Below are 22,479 nucleotides of genomic sequence, written 5' to 3' on the forward strand. Positions count from 1 at the left end.
GTGGAGTGCAGTGGCATGATCTTGGCTCACGGCAACCTCCACCTCTGCCTCCCAGGTTCAAGTGATTCTCCTGGCTCAGCCTCCTGAGCAGCTGGGACTACAGGCATGCACCAACACGCCAGGCTAATTTTTGTATTTTTAGAAGAGACAGGGTTTTACCATGTTGGCCAGGCTGGTCTTGAACTGCTGGCCTCAAGTAATCCGCTTGCCTTGGCCTCCCAAAGTGCTGGGATTACACGCATGAGCCACCGTGCCCAGTTAGATTCTGCATTTCTAACAAGCTTTCAACTGATGCTGGTGCTGCTGGTCTGTACACATACACTTTGAGTAGTAAAGGCTTATACTTTTTTGATGTATGATTAGCTCACTCAAGTCAGAAGTCCAGTGGCAGTGGACACAGGGACTAGAGTTTAGGAAAGAGAGACTTGGGCTGGGAATATTTGGGAGTCATCAGTACATAGGAGATTTTGATGCCAGAATATGAGGATAACGGCCCAGGAATAGTGTTTGGAGAAAAAGGAAGAGAGGCCCAAGGCCAGCCCATGGGTAGCGCCATTATTTAAGGCACACTTGTAGGATGAAATTTAAGAAGGTCAAGAAGTAGCAGATGAACCTGAGATGCCAATGATGCTTTTCAATGAGAAGCCTGTAGTTCTCAAACTTATATTTTAAAATATAAGTAATAACTACATTTATTGAGCCTTTTATTCCTGGCACTGTGCTAAGGGCTTCAAATTTTCTCTAAAACACAGGGTGTAAGAAATGTGATGTCACATTAAAATTTTTCTCTAACCACATCCCAATGCTCTGAGCTGGTGGAAAATGTAATTTGGGTCATCAGTAGGATTTTCCACTCCACACCCAAGATTATATGAAGGTTCTAGGGGTCTTAGTCTCAGTCCAGTACATTTGGAAAAGGCCCTCTAGTCTTCACTCAATGCTGATTACTGCTAATATTCTCATTTTCCCACCTCATTCATCCCTTGTAGGTGAGCTGCTTTCTTGATTCCCTGCCAAGCTTGGGCATAAGGGTCTTGGTCATGGTTGGAATCTCAGATACCTAGCACGCAATCTCCCTAATATGCTACGCATTCATTCCCACCTAAGGTTCCACCACTTTCCTCACCTATTAGGTTCCTGGTAGTCACATAACCGGCAACTCTCCTTTTCTGTCGTTCAGCTAGTTGCCACCTACCTCAACCAAACTCAAAAGCCTCTAACCCCTCTCCACTGTGTGAAGACGGAAGTACCTCAATGGACACAAGTGTTTTTGGTGAAAGGGACTTTTTATTCTGCCCCGGAGCTAGGGAAATCCCAGATCTGTGCCAGAGTTATCAAGGGGGTAGTATATAATCATTCTCTGCATTCTTTTACAGCACTGAGAACAAGTAAAATTCTTACCTTAGTATCTTTACAAATCATTTTACCACACATGTATTGTCGTATGAAATCCCTACAACCACTCCATGCAGGAGTAATTCCCAGTTTACATCCTGAAGCTCTGATAAATTTAGAAACCTGCTTTAAGTCACAGAGCTAATAAGTAATGTGTAGGTGCTATAAACTATGTGCCTTGGGCTCTGCAGCTATGAGGGCGTGGTATTATCACAGTTCCTATCGAAATACCTTGCTGGAGGTCATGTGTGAGTGGCAGTGACCAGACAAATAGAGAAACCTCATATACAGAGGGGAAAAGTCTCCATGTATAGTGCCTGGGATATCTCCATGTTAGTGCTGCTCTTTCTTGGATCTTCACCGCAACGCCACTATCTTGATTTTACTATAAGAAACTGAGGTTTCGAGTGCACTGGTGATTTGCCTACTGCCACAAAACCAGGCTAATGGGCTGGGCGCGGTGGCTCAAGCCTGTAATCCCAGCTCTCTGGGCAAAGGCTGAAGCGGACGGATCACCTGAAGTCAGGAGTTCGAGACCAGCCTGGGCAACATTGGCGAAATCTCGTCTCTAATAAAAATTTAAAAATTAGCTGGGCGTTTGACGCGCGCCTGTAATCCCAGCTACCCGGGAGGCTGAGGCTTGAGAATCGCTTGAACCGAGTGGCGGAGGCTGCAATGAGCCGAGATCGCGCCACTGCACTCCAGCCTGAGCGACAGAGCGAGACTCCTTTTCTACAACAACAACAAAAAACCAGGACAAATCTTGCTGGCTTCCAGTATGGTATTCGTTTCATCTCACCAAACTGGCGTGGCCTGCGCTAGCTTCAGAGTCTCGACAAACTCCAATACAAGTAAGGTACACATTATTTTAGCAGTCTTCCTTGGGGAGGACGTGGGGCAAGCACAAGCGTAGCGTTAGGCCTGAGACTCCACCCCAGCCGTCTCTGAGCCCAGTTCAGCACGCACGCGTCAGGCGGCTTTTTTCCGCCCGGCTCCTTTCCTCCACTCCCTTCCCGCCACTCCCCGCCCTTTTCCCGCCCGGATGTTATTCTAGTTTTGCCGGATGTTGTTGTATGTCCGAGAGACACGTGAGGTTCTGCTACGTCATTACCAGGCACGCGCAGGAAACATGGCGGCGGCGGGTGTTGTGAGCGGGAAGGTAGGTAACGGCCTCCAGGAAGACCTCGGCTTTTCTCTGGGACGGGGATGCTTTTGCTCCCTGGCAGCTGGTTGGGGGAGGGACACGAGGGACTTTCTGTGTCCGGACAACCCGTGGCGTCTGTAGGAGAAGACTGGGTGGTACCAGCTGGTTTCCCGAGAATGCCAGTTCAGCCGCGGAGTTATAGAGCCGGCTACTGCTCCAAGGCCAGCTAGGCCTCGGCGCTCTTCTGCCCCAGAGCAGAGAGGCTTTTATTCGTATTACCTTTACTAAGGGACAGGTGGCTCTCTAGTTCCTTTTTTCCCCCGATTCACTGTTTCTTGACTCTAGTTCTTTATGTCTACTCTTCTGACTCCAGCGTCTTTTCTCTCTTTGAAGCGTTAACCCGACTTGCCTCTGTCTTCTTTGCTACAGTTTGGTGAAGATGTTTATGCTTCCTTCGGGAGGAGCTGAATAGATGCTAGGCAGCTAGCTGTGCGCTTAGAAGAAACGAGTGTATTGGGTCTGTTTTTACCAAGCTGCTGAGTTGGTTGGTGGTTGTGAGCAGCAGGACGTGTTTCCTGAGAGAAATGGAGATTTACACCATCCTGTGCTTGTCTAGGAAGGCGTCCAAATATTTATTTCCTAGGCATTTCAGTAGGAGTATTGGTCATGCTGGTTTACGGAGGTGGTCAGTGACACGCCTAATTTCGTTGGAAACTAGAATTACGTGCGGAGATTTCGTCGAATAGTGCCTATTCGCGTTCCGAGGGCACATCTTATGCATAGTTAGGGCTATCAGCTTTATGATATGCCACCGATAGTATTTCCCAGTGCAGGAGTATTTCATAAACAGCTGGAATCAACTGAAGTGACTCATCGAACACTAATGGTTGTTTACTCATTGCAGATAGCGTCCTCTGTTCCTTGAGTTTCACTCATGTCTCCCTGTTGCTTTCCCTACCCCATTTTGAATTATTTGACAGCGTTTGTGGTTTGGTGTTTGGAGTATTAGACTAGGCGGCTGAATGACAAATATGGGCTTGGTTTTGCTGTTAATCTGAAGTATGACCTTGGAAAATTGGGCAATTGTGACTTTTGTCTTTTCGCGTTCTTTATCTGTAGAATGGAGGAGATGCCAATCATTATTTCTTGTATTGGAGTTGTTAGGGTTATATAAATTTTTTTTTAAAAAAACATAAAATTACACACTTGTACCTACTGGCTCTTTTAAAGGATAGGTGGGCATCCTTTTTTGGATTATTCGTGCTCCTTGGTTGTCTTGTCAGTTTTTTTCTTTTTATATTCAGGGTGGATGCTGATATACTGCTTGACTTACTGCGTATTTGAAGATTATCCTGTTTGATTTTCCATCTAAACTGATCCAGGCTGGGACTTTTCAAGAGGGGATCCCTTCCGTTTAAACATCTCCCTCTTTCAGGTTTGGATTGATTTTGAAAGAATCCTTGAGGCAATGAAGCAGAGTTGTGAAATGAAAAACATTTTTCACTCTTTGCAGCCACTACCTTTCATAGTCTGACTTCTTAAAGTGAGACTTATATTTAGTAATTCTGCTTCATAACCTCATTTATTCTCATTCACTGCAAATTCACATCTATTGCCATCACTCCACTGAAACTAGTTTTCCATGCCAAAAGCTGCTCCTCTCCCAAGTAATACTATCATGACCAACAAAACCCACTTGTTCTTCTCTCAGTAAGTTCAGATCTGGTTTAATGGCATCATCTTTCACCTGGTTGCATGTTAAACATACTTGGAGGCATTCATTCCTATAACACTCTCTAATCAATAACCATGTCCTACCAGTTTTACCTTAAGAGGTTTCTTAAATTTACTGCATCTTCTTTACTATCAGCGCATAGTTCAGGCTTTTAGTCTGCTTCTATTCTTGATTTCTTGGCTGATTTTACTCCTTTTCTACAGTCTCTGCCCTTAATCTTCTCTACACCACCACTGGAGTTATTTTTCTAATGCGCAAACCTGATAATCTCTTGATTTAAAAAGCAAATGAAAACTCTTCACTTTTTTATCGTCAGCATAATAATAATAATAATGAAAGCTGGTTAATGTAACATAAAAAGACATGATACCTTTATGCTTCCCTACTTCCTAATCTTTTTTCTTTAGGAAAGGGGATGGGGAGAAAATGTGTGTGTGTGTTTATTTATTCATCTCCCCTCTCCCTTCAAGTTTTAGCTAAGAGTTCTAGTTTAGAAATCCAGGGGAGTGAATGTTAACCAAGGCTCACAAAAATCACTCGTGATACTTTTTAATAAAAGTACAGATGGTGGGCTACCAGCTCTGTTGAATTAGAGTCTCTCAGTGTCTCCACCTAGGATGTAACTTTTCTTAAAACTCTACTTGCTTTGAACTTGGAGTTTCGGAAAGTGATGGAGGAAGTTAATCTCTGTCTTGTAGGGAAGCAGCAAAAGGTAATGGTTAAGAGCTTGGTCTCTGAAACCAAACTAGTTTCAGAAATTATCTCCACACATTTACAAGCGACTTCAGTAAAATTACTTAACCTCTCTGTGCTTCAGTATCCTCATCTGTGATATGATAACAGTACCTACTTTATTCTTGGTATGAGGATTAATGAGTAAATATATTAGAAACTGTAGACTGAACTAATCATCATGAGGTCAGATCCTGAAATGTTTCATCTGCCCCTAACATAGATTCTGGCACATAATAGGTATTCAGTGAAGAGGAAGAAGCAAGAAGGTATGAGAAAATGAGGAACCAGGTGCCGTGGCTCAGGCCTGTAATCCCAGCACTTTGGGAGGCTGAGGTGGGAGGATCACTTGAGCTCAGGAGTTCAAGACCAGCTTGGGCAACATAACTAGACCCTGTCTCTATGAAAAATAAAAAAATTAGCTAGTTGTGGTGACATGTGCCTGTTGTCCCAGCTACTTGGGAGGCTGAGGTGGGAAGATTGCCTGAGCCTGGGACTTGGAGGCTGCAGTGAGCTATGATGGTGCTACTGCACTCCAGCTTGGGTGACAGACCAAGACCCTGTCTCAAAAAAAAAAAAAAAAAAAGAAAAGAAAAAGAAAATGAGGAGGGATTAGAGTGGGAGAAATGGGTCCATTAATAGCTCTTTTGTTTCAGAGTTGTAAAATCCTATTGTAGTACACTTCATTCACTCTAGGTTTTCCTGTTAGTGTATTAGAATTTCTTTCTATTGAAAATTACTGGCCGGGCACGGTGGCTCATGCTTGTAATCATCACTTTGGGAGGCTGAGGTGGGTGGATTACTTGAGGTCGGGAGTTTGAGACCAGCCTGGCCAGCATGGTGAAACTCTGTCTTTACTAAAAATACAAAAGCCGGGCATGGTGGTACACGCCTGTAGTCCCAGGTACTCAGGAGGCTAAGGCAGGAGAATCGCTTGAAACCAGTGCAGTGAGCTGAGATTGTGCCACTTGTTCAGACTGGGCGAAGGGCATACTGTGTTTCAAAAAATGAAAAAGAAAATTACTTGAAACAATAGGGAAATCAGCTGTTTTTTTTTCTTAATTAGAATTTGTGATGTCATTTTTAGTAACAATTTATTTTGTAGCTTAAAATTGGCCCTAACCAATTCTTTTTAAATATGCTCATAGTCCTATAAAATTTTTGTGCTTTAGAAAGATGAATATTCTTAGTATCTAGATTTTCCTGGAGACTTGTTTTCCTAGACTGGATCTTTTAACATGGTAGTTAACTAGGGTATAATAGGAGTATGTCTTATTTTTAAATTTTTCTGGCATTCTTTAGTTCAACAAACGTTTTAGTACCTCCTATGTGCTGAGTTCTTTGGATACAAGGGTGGTTAAACACAGACTTGTATTATTATTATTATTATTGTTAATTTATTTTTGGGACAGTCTTGCTCTGTCACCCAGGCTGGAGTGCAGTGGTGTGATCATGGTTCATTGCAGCGCTGACTGTGTATCTCCTCCAACTCTTAAATTATTCACGTCTCCTATCTGACTTCGCTTGGCACACCAATATCCTTGAGAAGCAATAATAGTTCTGCCAGTTGCTCTTCCTTGAGAGTTGTACCATTCTCTATATCTCAAAACATTCTTCACTTCAGACTATCTGTGATGTATTGCCCTTACAACCACCTGTATTGTGCATTTTTTTTAGTTCCATAGTCATTACTCATTAACACATCCCAAATAAAACTCAGCTTTCTTCTTTCTGTTCTCCCTCTCAGTAAATAACCTCATCTACACAGTTTTGTCCTTGACTGTTCTCCCCTTCACCTCTCACATCTAATCAGTCATGAAGTCTTGTCATTTTGATCTTCTAAATATCTTTCTAAGCCATCTGCCTTTCCTCATCCCCACTACCATTGCCTTAGTTCAAGCAACCATGAGTCTCTCCCTCTCTGGATTACTGCAGCTGTTCGTTCTTGGCCCTGCAGCCACTTTATTGGCTTAGAAAAGGCAAATTTCTAGTTGCGTTTGTCTGTCTTCAGGATAAATTTCAAACTCCTAAATTCTTTAGCATGGCTTATGCAGCCCTTTATGATCTGATCTGGTCTCTGTTTTTGTTTCTAAACTATTTAGACTCTACTCTCTGGTATTTGGGTTTCAATCATGCAGTGAACTACTGCTCTGTATAAAATATATCCTCTGCTAAGAACATATATCCTCTGCTTCCCTATACCCTCTACTAATTAAAATTGCCATTATTTAGATCTCAGTTTATATGTCGCTCTAAGTAAGTTTTCCTGATTCTCACTCTGCCTGAGCCTCCTAAATCTAGGTAAGATAGCATTTATTAGGGCTTGCTGTGGCAGCCTGTTGGTACAATTACATGTTGTAATTGTCTGTTTTCTTGTCATCCCATTAGATTGTAACTGCTGTGGAGGCAGTGACTGAATCTTACTTATTTACACCTAGTAGCTTGCTCTGTACCTGGCACATGGTAGGCGTTTACTGTATATTTATTGAAGAAGTAACTGAAAATGGTACCTCATTCAGGATTCTCTGCATTCCTCTATTACACTCTACTATATACATTGATTTACTGGCTTACATAATACTGCTAGTTTAGTCAGACACTTTTCCTTGTGTGTGTTTTTGCCACTGACACCTTTTATTTCCAGCATGTGGTTGGTGCTCATAAATGTGCTGAATGCATGAGTAAAGAAACTTCTAAATCAGATTAAGTGGAATGGAGAGTAGTTCAAAGAATTTGGGCAGGCTATTGCTTATGTTCTTTTCTGAAGGATTTAGTAGAAGTTATTTGCAGAGAGAAAGGATAAAAGGGTGTTCCAGGTAGATGGAACAGAATACACCTGAAAAAAGGTACAAAGCTTTTGGGTAACAGAGTTCACAATGGCCCAAGGCAGAAATGTTTTATGTGTTGGGGAGTATCAGGAAGTATAGCCTCACTGTAGAGGTAAAGGGTGAAGTCAGAAGATTTTTAAGCCCCTGTGTGGTATAACCAGATGGACATTTTGTAAAGGTTAGTTTGGGCAGTGGTTATACATTATGCACCTTAGGCAGATTATTGGAAGGTGACTAGATCAGAAGAAGAGAGATCAGAATGTTATTTTAGTGACTTAGGCTAGAAATGATAAGGGGCCAGTGTCAGAGGAGAAGGTTCGAGGGACTTAGGTTATAGGGTCTGGATGGTGAAAGAAGCATTTAGAATAAGTGGGTGGATGAGATATCTTTGACAGAATTGGGAATATAGAAGAAGAGCAGGTTTAGATAGAACACATGAGATTAAGATGCCTTATTGAAATGGAGATACCAAGTAGGTGCTTAGATATTTGGGTGTGGAGCCCATTAGGATGCTCAGTCTCGCATTTCCTGGGGATGCTTTCTGGAACCATATGCTCAAATTATCATCTGTATGCCAAATAGTTTTGAAAGAAACTGAACTTTTGTACCTTTTTTGGTTGTTATATTAGCCTGTAAGTTCACATAATTGCTAAAGTTAAGAATGCATGTTGTGTATGATAGGTGATGGGTTTCCAAGTTTGGAGAATGATTTAGGGCAATAATTTTACCCTGAACTTACTGCTACATTTAAAATATTTGGGTTGAATTTTTCCTTTATCTTCCATTTTTGGAAATAAATAAAAATTATAATAATCATAATATAAGTAAAAATTCAGTATTAAGTGTAGGGACAGTATAAAAAATTACTACTGTATTGTGAAACTTCCTTATTTTTTCCAGCTCTTTGTGTCAGGAAGGATGTTCTTGAGTTGGATTGTGCAAAAGTTCATTCTGTCTAAAAGTTGAATTTATCTGTTTTTCTGCCTCATTTTTGCTTTTTAATTAAAACTTTTGCTAAATTAGAGGTGAGAAAATTTATTCTAAAATGTTTGCTGTGGTCACCAGAACTCTTTTAATAAGGTATATCTGACATAGCTCCTTTGCTAGAGGAGAAAAACAAAATACAGTTTCTGTTGCTTTCAGCAGGCCATCATTGGAAGTTTTATAAATGTACTTATCTGCTTGGGCATCTTAGCAAATATTTAAGAATAAATAAGAGCCTGGAGGGCATGAGACATTTTTATCCCAAAAGGAAAACTTTCCTCCTTTTTTTTGTAGTATTTTTACACTTAGAATATTCCTTCTTTACCTTTTCAATAATTTTGCCAGGTACAGACAAGCAAGGAACTCTAATACCTTTTAATTTCTCTGTTCTTTATGATGTCTGGCACATAATTGCTTCATAAAAGTTTGTTGAATTGAATTTTATACAGTCAGTTTAGCACCACCAAGTGGCAAGTCTTTGAATGCTCTTGATATATTTTGCTTCCTATGAACACCTGATTCCCAGCTAAGTGAGGGTATGATTGTTAATTTTTTTTTGAGGCAGGACTAATTTCTTTCTTTTTAGTGAGAATGTCCTCATGTATGTATGTATTTATTTTTAATTAGGTTTTTACTGTTTACAACAATGGACTTTCTATGTAAATTATTTTTTATACAGCTTTTTTTTTTTTTTTTTTTGCCCTGAGACATGGCCTTGGTCCGTGGCCCAGGCTAGAGTGTAGTGTGTGATCTCGGCTTACTGCAGCCTCCGCCTCCTGGGCTCTAGTGATCCTCCCACTTCAGCCTCCTGAGTAGCTGGGACTAAAGGCATGCACCATCACACCCAGCTAGTTTTTGTATTTTTTGTAGAGATGGAGTGTTGCCGTGTTGCTCCGTCTGCTTAGAACTCTTGGCCTCAAGTGATCCGCTCACCTTGGCCTCCTAAAGTTCTGGGATTACAGGTGAGGCACTGTACCTGGCCTATACAGCTATTTTTGAGATACAATTGATATGATAGACCACATGTATTTAGAGTATACAACTTTGACATTTGTGTACACCATGAACCCATGAACACAATTAAGATAATGATGTTTTCACCACCTCTGTTAGTTTTCTCGTGACTCACTGTACCATCACTCCATGTGTCCTCAGGCAACCACTGAGCATTTTTTGGTCACTATAAATTAGTTTTAATTTTCTAGAACTTTATATAAATGGAATTATATAGTATATACTCTGTTTTTGTATGGCTTTCTTTATTCAGGATAATTATTTTGAAATTCATGGTGTTGTATGTATCATTAGTTTTTTTTTTATTTCCAAATAATATCCATTGGGCCAGGCACGGTGGCTCACGCCTGTAATCCCAGCACTTTGAGAGGCTGAGGCGGGTGGATCACGAGGTAAGGAGTTCGAGACCAGCCTGACCAACATAGTGAAACCTTGTCTCTACTAAAAATACAAAAATTAGCTGGGTGTGGTGGTATGTGCCTGTAATTCCAGCTACTCGGGAGGCTGAGGCAGGAGAATTGCTTGAACATGGGAGGCAGAGGTTGCAGTGAGCCGAGATTGTGCCACTGCTCTCCAGCCTGGGTGACAGAGCGAGACTGTCTCGAAAAAAAAACCCCACAAATAATATTCATTGTATGGGTATACCACATTTTGTTTATCTAGTCATGTGTTTGATAGACATTTGGGTTATTTCCACTTTGACTGTTACAAATAAAGCTGCTCTTAGGCCAGGTGCCGTGGCTCACACCTGTAATCCCAGCACTTTGGGAGGCCGAGGTGGGTGGATCACCTGAGGCCAGGAGTTCAAGACCAGCCTGACCAACATGGAGAAACCCTGTCTCTACTAAAAATACAAAACTAGCTGGGCATGGTGGTGCATGCCTGTAATCCCAGCTACTCGGGAGGCTGAGACAGGAGAATCGCTTGAATTCAGGAGGCAGAGGTTGCGGTGAGCCAAGATCTTGCCACTGCACGCCAGCCTGGGCAACAAGAGCGAAACTCTGTCTCGAAAAAATAATAAAACAAACAAATAAATAAAATAAATTAAAGCTGCTCTGAGCATTGGTATATGTGTTTTATGAAAATATGCTTTCATTTTTCTTGATTGGATACCTGGGAATGGGGTGGCTGGATCATATATATTAGTTGTGTGTGTAGCATTTTAACACACTGCCAAATTGTTTTCCAAAGTAGGTGTAGTGTTTTATATTTCCACTGGCAGTGTATGAAAGTTCCAGTTGCTTCATATTTTTGCCCATATTTAATGTCAGTCATTTTAATTTTAGCCATTCTAATAGGTGTGTAATAGTGTTTCATTATGGTTTCAGTTTACATTTCTGTAATGACTAATGGTGTTGAGTATTTTTCCATGTGCTTATTTGCTGTCCTTGTATCTTCTTTGATGAAGTGTCTGTTTAAATCTTCTGCTTATTTTTTTTCAAACTGTGTTTTTTTGTCACTGAGTTTTTAGTGTTCTTTTTATGTCCTGGATTTTATATTCTGGATACAAATCCTTTTAATACAAGTTCATTTGGGTCTTTTTAAAAAAATTATTTATTTTTATTCATCTTATATAAAAGGGGGGCCAAATCTAAGAAAATAATGTTATGTCAAAGTTTGTTTTTTAAAGCATAAACTTTCAGAGTTTGTTTTAAGGTTAATACATAGAGTGCTAGCTTTTTAGTCACCTGAGAATCAGGAAATTCACTTGGACGTAATTCCCTGTGGTAACAAAGAACTATGGCTTCCTATGGGTTTGTCAAGCTCCTAGGCTTCATTCAGCCTGAAATTATACTTTTCTTGTTATGTATAAATTAAATAAAATCTATACAACTGTCTGTTCTTCTGTTGCCTCACATCATGTCTATAAAAACAGCATTTAAAGTTTGCAGGAAATAGAATTTTGGCCTGTTACAAAGCAAACACTTTGTTTCTTTAACTCAGAATTCTGGAAATGCAATCAAGTTCTAGTATTGTGACTGCCAAAATATTTTGTCATCAGATATTAATTTTTTTCAAGTGTCTGACTCCATACAAGAAAATAATAAAAGTATCAGAAGTTAACTGTGATTATAAAAAAAAAAAAAAACAAAAAAAAAACAAAAAACTTCAGTGTCCATAGGGTTGTTCCTCATGGTTTGTTAGGATACTCCTGCCTGATCCAAGTGCATCAGGTCTGAGACTGTTCTTTGTTCCACGCTTCTATCTGCCAGAAGAATCTTTTTAGGTAAGGAGGCTATCATAGGAGGCAATGGAGCTTCTAGCTGTTGTCCAAGGAATGAAAGCAGGCGCCTCCAGCTGAGCCACTTCCCATGAACATAATTCCTGTAATCAGTCAAAACACTCCATGGGCCTCTTCAAGGGAAGATTCCAAACTCATTCCAAAAGCAACTTCCATTACTCCAAAGAGCGAAAGAGAGAAGGTTCTTATGGTCAGCTGTAGATTCAACTTCATTATCACGTTACAGTGGCTGTCCAGATTGATGAAAATAATACTTTGTGAATCATCAGTCAGTACCGTAAGCTCCTAAGCTGCATTGGAGACATCGTCAGCTAGTCGGTAGTAGTTTTCCATCAGCAACTCTATCTCCTCTGCATGGTCAGTCCCAGTACTGCTCTTTTCAAAGACTCGGGGGTCACTCCATTTTGATAGAGCTCTTCTAGCAACTCTTTCTCATCCAGGATCTCCAAAATTGACTCTGAAAATTTTAATATCTGTTTCTAACTCTAATAGACTTTTGCCATTCTGTAGTAAAATGTGGAGTTTGCTTCTGTCTATAGAAGAATGTTTGGGGTCCACCAAAGCTTCCAGCGTCTTGAGGATCAGTGGCTGGAAAAGGCTAAGTTTCCCCTGAAGGGTGTTGATCCAGTATTGCAGGAGTGCTTCTATAGCTCTAAACTCAAAAAATTAAAGGGTTTCTAACAAGTTGACCCTCTCCAGACAATTGTGAAGAGAGTTCCCGGAACAGCCATCGCTGTGAGTTTAAATTATGATAATCTAATATCAGAAGACACTCTGGAGTTATCTCAGCTTTCAAATACTCCATTCTCATGATAATCATATTATTTCTGGCTGTGATACTCATTACATAGTGAAATCTCAAATCTCTGGCTTGAAGACCTAACTCTTGGTATAACTCAGTTTTCTTCCTTTCAAAAGAAGTAACATTTCTCTGTCAAATTTTGTCATGGTAAATACTGGGGCTATACTGGCTAGAGTGGTTTGAAAGACATCAGAAGTTCTAAACCAGTGCATTTCACCTGCCATGTGGAGCCGGCGGGGTTCGCACAGTGGGCCACCCAGCTCCTTCTGAGCAGGTTGGCTGCACAGCCACAGGCAGTCGCAGAGTTTTTGTTCTGTCGCCCAGGCTGAAGTGCAGTGATATGATCATAGCTCACTACAACCTTGAATTCCTGGGCTCAAGTGATCCTTCCACCTCAGCCTCCCAGGTAGCTAGGACTACAGGCATGTGCCACCATGCCTGGCTATTTTTTTTGTTTTGTGGACGTGGGGTCTAGCTGTGTTGCCGAGGCTGGTCTTGAACTCCTGCCCTCAAGGCGATCCTCCTACCTGGGCCTCTGTATTAGTTTTCACATTGCTATAAAGAAATAGCTGAGGCCGGGCGCAGTGGCTCACGCCTGTAATCCTAGCACTTTGGGAGACCGAGGTGGGTGGATCGTGAGGTCAGGAGATCGAGACCATCTTCGGCAACATGGTGAAACCCCGTCTCTACTAAAAATACAAAAATTAGCCAGGTGTTGTGGCGCGCGCCTATAGTCCCAACTACTTGGGAGGCTAAGGCAGGAGAATCGCTTGAACCCGGGAGGCAGAGCTTGTGGTGAGCCAAGATTGTGCCACTGCACTCAGCCTGGTGGCAGAGCAACACTCCATCTCAAAAAAAAAAAAAAAAAAAAAAAAGAAAGAAATACCTGAGACTTGGTAATTTATAGATAAAGAGGTTTAATTGGCTCATAGTTTTACAGGCTGTACAGGAAGCATGATGCTGGCATCTGCTCAGCTTCTGGGAGGCCTCAGGAAACTTACATTCATGGTGGAAGGCAAAGAACAAGCCAACACGTCACATAGAGCAGGAGGAAGGGGGAGGGGGAGGTGCTACACACTTTTAAACAACCAGATCTCATGAGAACTCACTATTGTGATGACAGCATCAAGAGTGGATGGTGTTAAACCGTGAGAAACCACCCCCACTATTACCTCCCCCCAGGCCCCACCTCCAACGTTGGGTATTGTAATTCAACATGAGATTTAGGTGGGGACACAGATCCAAACCATATCATTCCTCTTCTGGCCCCTCCCAAATCTCCATTTCCTTATCACATTTCAAAGTAGAATCATACTTTCCCAGTAGTCCCTCAAAGTCTTAACTCATTTCCGGCATTAAATCAGAAGTCCAAAGTCTCATCTGAGCCAAGGCTAGTCCTTTCCACCTGTGAGGCTGTAAAATGAAAAACAAGTTAGTTACTCCCAAGATTCAATGGGGTTATAGGCATTGGGTAAATACTCCCATTCCAAAAGGGAAAAATCGGCCAAAAGAAAGGGGCTGTAGGCACATGCAAGCCTGAAACCCAGCAGGGCAGTCATTAAATCTTAAAGCTCCAAAATAATCTCTTTTGACTTCATGTCCCACACCCAGGGCACACTGATGCAAGGGGTGGGCACCCAAGGCCTTGGACAGCTCTGCCCTGTGGCGTTGCAGGGCTCAGCCCCTGTGGCTGCTCTCAAGGGCTGGTATTGTGTGCCTGTGGCTTTTCCAGGCTGAGAGTGCAAGCTCTTGGTGGATTTATCATTCTGGGGCCTGAAGGACAGTGGCCCTCTTCTCACAGCTCCACTAGGCAGTGCTCTTGTGGAGGCACCGATACTACATTTCTCCTCCTCACTGCCCTATTAGAGGTTCTTCATGAGGACTCTGCCCCTGCATCAGGGTTCTGCTTTGACTACCAGGCTTTTCCATACATCCTCTGAATTCTAGGCAGAGACTCTCAAGCTTCAGCTGTTGCATTCTGTGCACCTGCAGGCTTAACATCATGTGGAAACTGCTATGGCTTATAGCTTGCACCTTGTGGGCCTCAAAAGGGCCCAGCAGCCTGAGCTTTACCTGGGCCCTTTTGAGTCACAGCTGGAGCTGGAGTGTCTGGGATGCAGGGAGCAGTGTCCTGAGGTTGTGCAGGGCAGCAGGGCCCTAGGCCTGGCCAAGGAAACCATTTTTCCCTCCTATGCGTTGGTCCTGTGATGGGAATGGCTGCTGCAAAGGTCTCTGAAATGCCTTCAAGGCCTTTTCCCCATTGTCTTGGCTATCAGCACTTGCCTTTCTGGTAGTTATGCAAATTTCTGCGGTGAGTTTGAATTCCTCTCCTGAAAATGGGCTTTTCTTTATTGCCACATGGCCAGGATGCAAATTTTCTAAACTTTTATGTCCTGCTTACCTTTTAAATATAAGTTCCAGTTTCAGGTCATTTCTTTGCGTATGCATATGAGCATAGGTTGTTAGAAACAGCCAGGCCACATCTTGAAGACTTTGCTGCTTAGAAATTTCTTCCACTGGATACCCTAAATCATCCATCTCAAGTTCCAAGTTCCACAGATCCCTAGAGCAGGGGCACAGTGCAGCCAGGCTGTTTGCTAAGACATAGCAAAAGTGACTTTTACTCCACTTCCCAGTAGTTCCTCATTTCCATCTGAGACCTCCTCAGCCTGGCCTTCACTCTCCGTATCACTGCCAGTATTTTGGTCACAACCGTTCAACCAGTCTCTAGGAAATTCCAAACTTTCCCTCATCTTCCTATCTTCTGAGCCCTCCACACTCTTCTGACCTCTGTCTGTTACCCACTTCCAAAGCTGCACCCACATTTTAAGGTGTTTTTATAGCAATGCCCATTTCTGATACCAATTTTCTGTATTAGTCAATACTCACTGCTATAAAGAAATATCTGAGACTGGGCAATTTATAGAGAAAAGAGGTTTAATTGGCTCACAGTTCTTCAAGTTGTAAAGGAAGTGTGGTGCTGGCATCTGCTCAGGTTCTAGGGAGGACTCAGGAAACTTACAATCATGGCGGAAGGCAAAGAGCGAGCCAACACTTCACATAGAGCAGGAGGAATAGAGAGAGGGGAGGTGCCACATACTTTTAAACAAAATCAGATCTCAGGAGAACTCACTATTGACATGACAGCACCAAGGGAGATGGTGCTAAACTGAGAAACTGCCCCCATAATTCCATTACCTCCCACCAGGCCCTGCCTCCAACATTGGGGATTACAATTTAACATCAAATTTGGGCAGGGACACAGATCCAAACCATACCACCCTCCCAGAGTGCTGGGATTACAGGCGTGAGCCACTGCACCTGGCCGAGTTGTGACTTTAGTGTCTTGAACATATGGGATAGACTTAAAATAATACTTTAATATCCTTCACTACTATTTGTGTTGTTTTGTGGTCAATTGTAATTGATTACTTTTTTTGTTATAGGTCATATTTTCCTGGCTCTTAGCATGCCTTAGTGGTAAATTTTTTACTGGATGTCAGATATGTTGAATTCTCTTTTTGGGTGCTAGATATTTTTGTGTTCTGTAAAATACTATTGAGTTTTGTGTTAGAAGGCACTTAAGTTGCTTGGAGTCAGTTGGGTACTTTTGGGTCTTGCTTTTAAACTTTGCTAAATGGTATCAGCACTGCATTTAGTATAGAACTAATTTTGCCTCACTGATGAGGCAAGGGAGTGCTTTGTGAATTATGAGATTTCCCACTCTGACTGGTGCAAACAGTTATGTGAGCCTGCAGATAGTTTCTTCTAATAGTTTCCCTCTCGCCTTGAAGAGTTTACTGACAAACATGCACTGTTCCATACTCTGCTGAATACTCGAGGAAGACTGCAGATTTCTTGAGTTCCCTGTGTGTTCTTCTCTTTTCTCTGGTACTTTCTCCTGTGAACTCTAGCTGTATTGGCATCCCCTATTTCCCACATCTCTCTCCTCACTGGACACCTTCTGAGTTTTCTCTCCCTTTCCCATAGCTGGGAACACACAACATAAAGCTAGACAATTGTATTGCTCACTTCATTTGGTTCCTTTCTCTCAATAGTCACTATCCTTCATTGTTTGCTGGGGAGTATCATGAAAACTATTGTTTCACAGATTGGTCAGTATTTTTAGTTTAGTTTATTATTATTATTATTTTTCTGGTGGGAGGTTAAATCCAGCCTGTCATTCCATCTTGGCCAGAAGTGGAAGTTTTTATATAGGGTTTCTTTTTCCTTTCTGTTTTTGGTGGAATTAATACCTATCTCTTCTGTACATCTTTTTTCCCCTTCAATCGTAGGCTGAATGTTTGTGTTCCAAATTTGTTCTCTTTGTTGTTATGAACTCTTAAGATGGTTTTTTCTCCCAAGATTTTACCATTTCCTTCTTGTTGGCCTGCATTAATTCTCTTTTCTGTTCTGTACCTTCTGACAGGCGACATTATCAGCAAGATATTCAAGAATTTTAACAGATGGTATGTATTTAGAGAATGTGCCAGTAGATGTTTGGATAGCTGAAGGTCATCATCATATACATAGAGTGGTTTTATACCAGTTTGTAATTTGTATTAAAGTGTCTTTTTTCTTCCTTCTCATTGATAGTCTGTATAATCTTCCAAAACAATTGCATTCCTCTCCCCCCCACCTTCTTTTGCAGATTCGCTTGGTGACAGGTGGTGCTACTTCCTCAAATCTTTGATCTGTTCTTCCCTTTCTTTTTCTCAAGGTATATTTTTTCATTGTTGAATTTGTATCATGTTTTCCATCAGACAAAATTCCTTCAGTACCCTTGAGATTTGATTTAGATCCTATTTAAGACTTTACATTTTGTGTATTAGTCCGTTATCACACTGCTATAAAGAAATACCTGAGACTAGGTATTTTATAAAGGAAAGAGGTTTAATTGACTCACGGTTTCGCATGGCTGGGGAGGCCTCAGGAAACTTCATGGCAGAAGGCGAAGGGGAAGCAGAAGCAAAGCATGTCTTACATGGCGGCAGGAGAGAGAGAGTGCTCAGGGGAAACTGCCACTTTTAAACCATAAGACCTTGTGAGAACTCCCTCACTATCCTGAGAACAGCATGGGGGAAACTGTCCTTATGATCCAGTCACCTCCCACTGGGTTCCTCCCTCAACGTGGGGTTTACAATTTGAGATGAGATTTGGGTGGGGATACAGTCAAACCGTATCATTTTGTGTTTATCACCAGTAATTTTTAGCATTTTTGTTGTAAAAATTCATATAGTGAAAATCATACTTACCATATAGCTGAATGAATCATAAGGCAAACTTGTAATCACAGCTTAGGTTAAAAAATAGACCTTTGCCAGGAGATTGAGACCATCCTGGCTAACACGGTGAAACCCTGTCTCTACTAAAAATACAAAAAAATTAGCCAGGCGTGGTGGTGTGTGCCTGTAGTCCCAGCTACTTGGGAGGCTGAGGCAGGAGAATGGTGTGAACCCGGGAGGCAGAGCTTGCAGTGAGCCAAGATCGCACCACTGCACTCCAGCCTGGGTGACAGAGCGAGACTCCATCTCAAAAAAAAAAAAAAAAAAAAAAAAAAGACGTTTGCCAATAACTCCAGATGACCTTCCACGTACCACCCCTTGTCTCCTAAGAAACAGTTATCCTAACTTTTATCATAATCACTTTCTTGCATTTCTTTATTAGTAGTAGTATTAAAACATAGCTATTGTGTCTTTTTTAAAAAATGGTTCTTCCATATCTTCTACTTAGTATTACTGGGTTTTTAAGAGTTTTGTTTTTCTTAATCAGTTGCACCTTTTGTCTTGTTATTGTATGTGGTTTTTTTTGGGGGGGGGTATCTTGTTCAAATTTCAATTTAAATTCATTTAATCAAATACATTATTTCTTGATTTTAAAAGATTGGACCATACAGAAATTATGGTTCACCCTGCCCCCATACTGCCAAACCACCCAACTTGATTTTGACACTATGTATCCTTTGAGCAGTTTTCGTATTCATTGTTCTCTGCCAGATGAACTGGAAGATGAAATGAAAACGTCATTTATATCCCCATTAGAGATGTATTTTAGATAAGTTTTTGCCATATAATTTGTTCCCTTGTAAAATATCTCAAATTAGTAAGTTGTTAGGCTTGGGGGTCTTATATAGACTTTTAGTAATATCTCAGATATGGTCTGGGAAACTGATTAGGCTATTCCGTTTTTACATATTGATGCCTCTGTATCCCTAAGGTAACAGTCATGAGAATGTATTGCCTATACATTCTTTTGCTGTTTTAGATGCATGGTGCTGATTCTTTGTAGAATTTGGCTTCTTATGGGAGGAGTCTCCAACATGTTGCATGTCTCTGGTAGTGTAGACTTTTGTTTAAGTCTTTTTCTTCTTTTAGCCTTCAATTTGCCAGATTCCTGATTGTAATTTCCATTGACCTTTACCTTCTTGGGATATATATTTTTTTCTTTTTTTTCCTGACTTATTTTTTTTCTACTGTTCCTGTGAGCTCTTCATTTTCTCTCAAATCTTAGGTAGTAGAAAGGAAGAAAGGGACTGCTGATGCTCTTTCTTTGCTTCCTGTAGTACAGAGGACCTACTCATGTTCACAGCACTGGTAGTTGGTGAATACTACAGATTGGGATGCAAACAGCACGTAGGATATTGGAACAATTTTGTCAGTGTCCATATATGCTGAGCCTTAAGTTGATAGCCTTTTTCATTATGTACTCTTTGGGCAAATAAAACTTGTAGAGTAGACCTTTGAGTCTCAGCCCCAGAGCAGTGGAAGAACCTTGAGCAAATCACTTGATTTTCTTGCAGTTTTTTCAGTTACAAGATGGGAATGATAATATCTATCTAACTGAATTTTGAGGGTCAGATGTGATAACATAGAAATGTTTTCGTAAAGTAATGCGTAATAAAAATATTACATAGCAGATAAAAGCATTTGAAGCTTTCTTTTAAAATTTTTTAAATTTAATTTTTTTAAATTTATTATTTTTTTTCTTAAGAGATGGGGGTGGGGGGGCATCTTGCTTTACTGCCCAGGATGGTCTTGAACTCCTGGCCTCAAGTGATCCTCCTGCCTTGGCCTCCCAGTGTCCTGGGATTACAGGTGTGAGACACTGCGGCTGCCCAGAACCTTTTAATTTTTGCGTTAGAGATCATGAATAAAACTAGAGTGAAGAAATTGAAAGCTTATTCTACTAACAAATGTTATGTGAGATGAAATTATTCACATCATAATTGTTCCCTGTAACAAAATAATTTTTTTGTGACAAATATGCATAGAGATAACTTTTCAAATATCAATTATTACAATTGATAAACATAAGAAGCAGAATGTTCTATGGCAGGATGATACTACTCAGGAATCAATTCATGACAGAGTAATTAAGAAATATCTTCATTATATATTATTGAAGTTTTAGTTGGACTTTAAAAAATCTAGATTTTGCTTTTATTTTTAATTGGCACATAATAATTGTACATATTTATGGGGTACAGTGTGATAATCTGATATATGTATATAATGTGTAATCAAATCTTAGTATATTTATCACTTAGAACATTTATTCTTTGTGTTAGAAGCATTCATGATCTGCTCTTCTATTTGAAAATATACAATAAATTGTTAATTATATCATGTGATAGTGCTGTAGAACGTTAGAATTTATTCTTCCTGTCTAGCTGTACTTTAGTATTCATTAACCAACCTTTGTCTATTCCCCTTTCCACAACCCTTCTCTGCCTGTGGTAACTGCTGTTCTACTTTCTACTTCGTTGAAGCCAACTGTTTTAGCTTCCACGTAAGAGAACATGTGGTATTTATCTTTCTGTGGCTGGTGTATTTTACTTAACATATATCCTCAATGCTCATCCATGTTACTGCAAACGACAGGATTTTTTTCATTTTTATGGCTTAATAGTATACCATTGTGCATATATGCAACATTTTCTTTCTTTCTTTTTTTTTTGAGACGGAGTTTCGCTCTTCTTGCCCAGGCTGGAGTGCAGTGGCGTGACCTCGGCTCACCGCAGCCTCCATCTCCTGGGTTCAAGCGATTCTCCTGCCTCAGCCTCCTGAGTAGCTGGAATTACTGGCATGTACCACCACGCATGGCTTATTTTGTATTTTTAGTAGAGATGGGGTTTCTCCATGTTGATCAGGCTGGTCTGGAACTCCCGACCTCAAGTGATCTGCCCACCTCGGCCTCCCAAAGTGGTGGGATTACAGGTGTGAGCCACCATGCCCGGCCACCACATTTTCTTTATCCAGTCATCTGTTGATGGACTCTTAGATTGACTCCGTATCTTGGCTATTGTGAATAGTGCTGCAGTAAACTTGGGAGTGCTTCTTTGACATGCTGATTTTCTTTTTTTTTTTTTGAAATATAGTCAAAAGTGGGATTACTGGATCATATGCTAATTTTTTTTTCTTTTTCTTTTTTTTTTTTTTTTGAGATAGAGTCTCTTTGTTGCTCAGGCTGGAGTGCAGTAATGCAATCTTGCCTCACTGCAGCCTCCCAGTTTCTGGGTTCAGGCAGTTCTCCTACCTCAGCCTCCTGAATAGCTGGGACTACAAGCATGTGCCACCATGCCTGGCTAATTATTTTTATATTTTTTTAGAGATAGGGTTTCACCATGTTGCCCAGGCTGGTCTTGAACTCCTGAGCTCAAGCCATCTGTCCGCCTTGGTCTCCCAAAGTGTTGGGATTACAGGCTTGAGCCATCATGCCTGGCCACTGTTTTTAGTTTTTTGAGGAACTTTCATACTGTTTTCAGTAGTGCTTGTACCAATTTACATTCCCACCAGCAGTGTATAAGAGTTATCTTTTCTCCATATCCTCACCAGCATTTTTTTTTTTTTTTGTAGTTTTGATGACAAAAAATTAGTCATCAGTTAATTAGCCTTTCTGGGATGAGATGGTATCTCATTGAGATTTTGATTTGTATTTTCTTGCTAATTAGTGATGTTGAACATTTTTTTCATATACCTGTTAGCCATTTGTATGTTTTTTTTGTCATCGTCATTTTTAAATGTAGATACAGAGTTTATTTGGGCCAAGATTGAGGATTGCAATCCAGTAGCATAGATTCAAGTTGCTCTGAATATAAACTTCCTGTATGTCTTCTTTTGAGAGATACCTATTTAGCTTATTTGCCCATTTTGAAATTGGAGTATTTTTTTTTCTGTTGAGGTTTTCGACTTTCTTGTATCTTCTGGATATTAAACCCTTGTTGGATGTATAGTTTGCAGGTATTTTCTCCCATTCTATAGGTTGTATCTTCATTTTGTTGCTTGTTTCCTATGCTATGCAGAAGTTATTTTGATGTAATCTTGTTTGTCTGTTTTTGCTCTTGTTGCCAGTGCTTTTGCATTCTTCTCTGTAAAATCTTTGTCCTGACCAGTGCCCTGAATAATTTCCTCTAGTAGTTTTTGAAACATTTTCTTGTAGTAGTTTCATAGTTTTGGATCTTACATTTAAGCTTCAATCCTTTTTGTTTTTTTTGAGATGGAGTCTCACTATGTTGCCCGGGCTGGAGTGTAGTGGCGTGATCTCAACTCACTGCACCCTCTGCTTCCCAGGTTCAAGCGATTCTTCTGCCTCAGCCTCCCGAGT

General features: G+C 40.8%; 1 protein-coding gene and 1 pseudogene across 43 annotated transcripts in view; one reads left to right on the forward strand and one right to left on the reverse strand.

Moving 5' to 3' along the window:
• The first annotated feature begins 2,501 nt into the window (after nt 1-2,501).
• Nucleotides 2,502-22,479, forward strand: part of TBC1D15 (TBC1 domain family member 15) — an 84,555-nt gene continuing 64,577 nt past the window's right edge. For 27 of the 42 annotated variants that reach the window (NR_169786.1, NR_169774.1, NR_169780.1 and 24 more), the window contains exon 1: nt 2,502-2,554. Coding sequence is in view for 13 of the 42 variants with exons in the window: in NM_022771.6 (NP_073608.4) it covers nt 2,525-2,554 (30 nt within the window). In the remaining 29 variants the exon portion in view is untranslated. Of the gene's footprint in view, nt 2,555-3,843; nt 3,975-17,305; nt 17,346-17,527; nt 17,597-22,479 lie in introns of all 42 variants that reach the window. The other 15 variants (NR_169765.1, NR_169767.1, NR_169785.1 and 12 more) reach the window with 5 other exon arrangements.
• MRS2P2 (MRS2 pseudogene 2) lies at nt 11,035-13,726 on the reverse strand (annotated as a pseudogene). Its single transcript, NR_024072.2, has one exon. The product of NR_024072.2 is annotated as an MRS2 pseudogene 2 (transcript).

This window comes from Homo sapiens, chromosome 12, assembly GCF_000001405.40.
Source record: "Homo sapiens chromosome 12, GRCh38.p14 Primary Assembly".
Classification (NCBI taxonomy): Eukaryota; Metazoa; Chordata; class Mammalia; order Primates; family Hominidae; genus Homo; species Homo sapiens.